The sequence below is a fragment of the Homo sapiens genome, chromosome 4 (genome assembly GCF_000001405.40).
Source record: "Homo sapiens chromosome 4, GRCh38.p14 Primary Assembly".
In the NCBI taxonomy this organism is placed as follows: domain Eukaryota; kingdom Metazoa; phylum Chordata; class Mammalia; order Primates; family Hominidae; genus Homo; species Homo sapiens.
The window spans coordinates 11,281,914-11,287,913 of NC_000004.12; positions in this window are offsets into that span (position 1 = coordinate 11,281,914).

Consider the following 6,000-nt stretch of genomic DNA (forward strand, 5'->3'; position numbering starts at 1 on the left):
AAATATTTTTAAAAGAAGGGGGAAAATGTGGGAGTAAATGTTTCAAGTTTCTAGTCACCATAAGTTTTGGGCAATACACTTCCTGTATAATTTTACGAGTCACTTCACATTCTTTCACATTTATCCATGCCAGGTTTGGTGTTGGAGACTAGGTGACCCTTAGAAGCTCATAGTCATGAAAGGAATTTACACATACCTCCTTTCTATAAACTTCAATATATTGAGGTAAGTGCAAACACAGAGGTTCTTCTAATGTCGGAAATTCTCAAGGATAAGCCCTAAGACCTTCAGAAATGTCTCAAGTTTGGGAATATTACTAGGAAAAATACCATTTCTCCCATAAATGATTGGTAAGATAACCAAAATGTTTTTTGTCTCAGAAGTGTCCTCTAAAAAGGACTAAACCTGGTACATGCTGTATTCTAAGAAAGAACTCAAACTGTTTCAAACATCTTTTTTACTTTATCTTCACCACCAGCAATAGAGGATGCCCTTCTTTTCTAGTCATTTTTCAAGAAGAAAAGTCTAAATCACTTGTGACAGGGCTAGCAGGGCTGGAAGTAGGATGAGTCAAGTGAGGCCAGGTCATGCAAGTGTAGTCTGGTCTTGCCTGCCTTTAAAATATGACATTTTGTTTAGCTTGGGTTTTTTGGCATTAATTTTGCTTTTTAGATACCATATTAAATATATCAAAATAAAATATAAATATATTATGTATCTTATTACTGAGATTTTTGGAACTCCTTAAATTTTGCTCTTAAGGCAGATCTCTTGCTCATAGTCTTCCCCATAGTCCGATTCCTGCGGGGTAGATATATGACTGTGAGTAGAGAAAGCAGATCTGGGCTCAGTAGAGACAGCAATCAGTCAGTTGGACTCAGATGATAATGAACTGAGTAGATGCTGCACCAGGAAAGTTTTATCCTGTATTAGTGTGTTTTCACATTGTTTATAAAGATATACCCAAGACTGGGGAATTTACAAAAGGCAGTGGTTTAATTGGACTCACAGTTCCACGTGGCTAGGGAGGCCTCACGATCATGGTGGAAGGCAAGGAGGAGCAAGTCACACTTTACGTGGATGGGGGCAGGCAAAGGCAGAGCTAGTGCAGGGAATCCCACTTTTAAAACTATCAGATCTGGTAAGACTCATTCACTATCACGAGAACAGCACAGGAAAGACCCACCACCATAATTCAATCATCTCCCACCATGTCTCTCTCATAATATGTGGGAATTATGGGAGCTACAACATAAGATCTGGATGGGGACACAGAGCCAAACAATATCATTCTGCCCCAGGCCCTTCCGAATTTCATATCTTCACATTTCAAAACCTATCATGCCTTTCCAACAGTCCCATGAAGTCTCAACACATTTCAGCACTAAATCAAAAGTCCATAGTCCAAAGTCTCATCCAAGACAAGGCAAGTCTTTTCTGCCTGTGAGCTTATAAAATCAAAAGCAAGTTAGTTAGTTCCTAGATACAATGGGGGTACAGGCTTTGGGTAAATACAACCATTCCAAATGGGAGAAACTGGCCAAACAAAGGAGCTATAGGCCCCAGACAAGTCCTAAATCCAGTGGGGCAGTCAAATCTTAAAGCTCCAAAATGATCTCCTTTGACTCTGTGTCTTACATCCAGGTCACGCTGATGCAACAGGTAGATTCCCATAGTCTTCAGCAGCTTTGCCCCCGTGGAATTGCAGGGTACAGCCTCCCTCCTGGCTGCTTTCACGGGCTGGCATTGAGTGTCTGTGGCTTTTCTAGTGTCTGTGGGTTTTCTAGGCACACGGTGCAAGATGTTGGTGGATCTACCATTCTGGGTTCTGGAGGATGGTGGCCTCTTCTCACCCCTTCACTAAGCAGTGCCCCCTGTAGTAACTCTGTGTGGGGCTTCGATCCCACATTTCCCTTCTGCACTGTCCTAGCAGAGGTTCTCCATGAGACCCCCACCCCCATAGCAAACTTCTGCCTGGACATCCAGGTGTTTCCATACATGGTCTGAAATCTAGGTGGAGGTTCCCAAACCTCAGTTCTTGACTTCTATGCACTGGCAGGCTCAACATCACATGGAAGCTGCCAAGGCTTTAGACTTGAAGGCTGAAGCCATGGCCCAAGGTCTACATTGCCCCCTTTCAGCATGGCTGAAGTGACTGGGATGCAGGGCACCAAGTACCTAGGTTTCACACAGCACGGGGACTCTGGACCCAGCCCACAAAACCACTTTTTACTCCTAGGCCTCCAGGCCTGTAATGGGAGGGGCTACAGTGAAGACCTTGACATGCCCTGGATGCATTTTCCTCGCTGTCTTGGGAATTAACATTTGGCTCCTTGTTATTTATGCAAATTTCTGCAGCTGGCTTGAATTTCTCCTCATGAAATGTGACTTTCATGAAATCGGAAAATGTGATTTGCTTTTCTACCACATTGTCCTGTTGCAAATTTTCCAAACTTTTATGTTCTGCTTCCCTTATGTAACTGAATGCCTTTAACAACACCCAAGTCACATCTTTAATGCTTTGCTGCTTAGAAAGTTCTTCTACTAGATACCCTAAATCATCTCCCTCAAGTTCAAAGTTCCATAAATGTCTAGGGTAGGTTCAAATGCCACCATTGTCTTTGCTAAAATGTAACAAGAGTCACCTTTGCTCCAGTTCCCAACAAGTTCCTCATTTCCCTCTGAGACCAACTCAGCCTGGACCTTATTATTCATATCACTATCAGCATTTTTGTCAAAGTCATTCAACAAGTCTCTAGGAAGTTACAAACTTTCCCACATTTTCCTGTATTCTTCTGAGCCCTCCAAATTGTTCCAACCTCTGCCTGTTACCCATTTTCAAAGTCATTTCCACATTTTCAGGTATCTTTTCAGCAACACCCCACTCTACTCTTACTAATTTACTCTATTAGTCTGTTTTAACACTGCTGATAAAGACATATCTGAGACTGGGTAAATTACAAAAGAAAGAGGTTAAACAGAGAACTTACAGTTCCACGTGACTCGGGAGGCCTCACAATCATGGCAGAAGGCAAGGAGGAGCAAGTCACAGCTTCTGTGGATGGCAACAGGCAAAGAGAGGGCCTATTCAGGGCAACTCCTGTTTTTAAAACCATCAGATCTCATGAGACCGATTCACTATCACGAGAACAGCATTGGAAAAGACCTGCCCCATAATTTAATCATCTCCCATCTGGTCCCTCCCACAACACGTGGGAATTATGGGAGCCACTAGGTGAGATTTGGGTGGGGACACAGATCCAAACCCATATCATATCCTCATCACATTATGTTTAAGCCCAATGATAATTCCTCAAGGAGGTGATTCACCTCCATTTTAGAGATAAGGCACATAGTAGGCACTCAAAAATATGTGTCAAATAAATAATAATCATAGTAGTAGCGGTGTTGTTTAGTAGTGTCTAACATTTTTGAGAGCTTAACATGTGTCACGGACTTTACTGTAAGTTTTATATCCATCCTCTCACAGCAACTTAAAGGCCACCAGAAACTAATGTAGCTCTTCAAGGTGACACAATTAAAACATGGAAAAACTAGGGTTTGAACCAAGTTAGGGTTGCCAGGTAAAATATAGGCAGTCCATTTAAATTTGAATTCCAGATAAACTGTGTAACTGAAAATATATATGGTTTTTACATAAAACGATATAAAAACCATATGTATTTATATATTTAAGACTATTTTTATACATAGCAACATATCTAGTTTACATGTATAGTTTTATATATAGCTTATATATAAACTAGAAACTAGAAATAGAATCATATATAAATATATATAACTATATATAGATATATAAACAAATATATAACTATATAAATACATAGACATATAACTATAAAACTATATAAACTAGGTATATAAGTATATATAGTACAAAACTATATATATATAAACTCTCTATATATACACACATTATATGTATGTATGTATTTTTAATACAGTAGGCCCATATATGTGCATATGTGTAGATAGATATAGATAGATAGATAGTAAGAACCAGCTAGAGTAATTTGTATATATACATATATGTGTATATATATATACACATATATAACTGTATATATAGTATAAAACTATATATAAACTCTCTCTATATATATACACACGTATTATCTGTATGTATGTATTTTTACCACAGTTGTTCCCAAGTATCCATGGGTTCAGCATTTGTGGATTCAACCAGCCACAGAATGAAAATATTTGACAAAACTGAATTTGTAGTAAACATACACAGACATCATTTGTTATTATTACCTAAACAATACAGTAAACAACCATTTACAGGACATCTACACTGTATTATGTATTATAAGTAATCTAGAGTTGATTTAAAATTTACTGGAGGATATGTGTAGGTTATATGTAAATTCTACACCATTTTATGTAAGGAACTTGAGCATACATAGATTTTGGTGGATCCGGAACCAATTTCCCACAGACACCAAGAGATGATTTGGTAAGTATGATATGCAATATTTGGGATATACTTATACTATAATAATTATTCATTGTTTATCTGAAATTCAACTTACACTAAACAGTCTACTTTTATTCACGAAACCTGGCAACCCTAAACACAGGAGAAAAATGATCATGCTTAGGTATTATATTCCCCAGAGATTCAGAGTCTGACCCTCTAAGATCACATCCAGAGTGGAGAAAATGTGTTTTTGAACCCACGTTTCTGTCTTCTAACTTCCCACTGTTAACCATTAAACAGATGGTCATACATCTTTTTTGTTTTGCTTTTTTTTACAAAGACAGGCTTTGTTTGCTGCCTGTTGTTTCCTGACAATTATTATTTCCCCTTTCACTTTCAAAAGTGCCTCAGATTTGTTTCATAACTTATATGGCTACCTTTTCACTACCTTACTTCTGCTTAATAACCACTCACCGTATATGAATCAAATTTATGTGATAGACAACACATTCCAATGTCACTGACATTGGAAGTCACTTAAAATTAGTTCAAACTGTGATGTCTAGATACCTAAATGCCTACATGTTCTACACTGTGCAGCTCAACATTCCCCTGCTCTGGCTTCCTTTGTTGTCTCTGTCCATTAAATGGGGAACTGAGTCAGGTTATTTTCCAGCCTTACTTCTCTGGTTTCATGCTAACCTGTGTCTTGAGTGGGTGGTGCACCTAATTCTATCCCATTCTGCCTCCTCCGGGGAGCTTTTCCCAGCCTGTTCCCTGGTCTGATTCTGTGCTCCTCATCTGTGTTCCTTTCTCTTGGAGTTGTAACTGCCCTTCCTACATGCCTCTGTAGTTGTCCCTCTGGTTGTGAATTTCCCAAGGGTGATGGCTCTCACTTGTTTGCTGCTATGGCAGTCCAGTGCCTACAATGTAGCAGTTCCCAATAAATCTCTGCTGAATGAATCAAAGAGTGACTACATGGATACATAAAGAAAGACCCAAAGAAGAGAAAGAATGCCTGGGAGAATCATTGAGCATTTAGAACTCCTGGATTCTCTGCACATCTGGTCCTGGTGCAGGCATCCGACTGGGCAACTTGGAGGAAGCAGCTTAAAGGCATTATCGCTCCCTGGCCCGCATCACCGACTCCACATGGTCTATCTCCCAAAATCTGCAAGGGGTTTCTCTGAGCATCTCCCTTCTCACTGAGTTAGAAACAGAAATGGCAATAACACTCACAAACAAAATAGCAATCCAGTCTCCCCACTGCTGGCCACATATTGTGACTCCTTCAGGATCAATCTCTCAGAGAGAGCGCATCTGTCACAATTTTTCTGCTAGGCCCATAAACAAAGGGTGTCACGTTGAAAAATGATGCACCTTCTCCTGCGATAGGCCAGAATCCGGTAGCCGAGGTGGCCGGGCCATTTCATGATGAGACCTATGCTCAGCCATCCAAGTGCCCACGTGGCCAGACCTGTAGCTAAGATAGTTCAGAATCCCTTTTCTTTTCCTGGTGATAGCCAACATCTGCCGTGCGTTCCAATGTGGCAGGT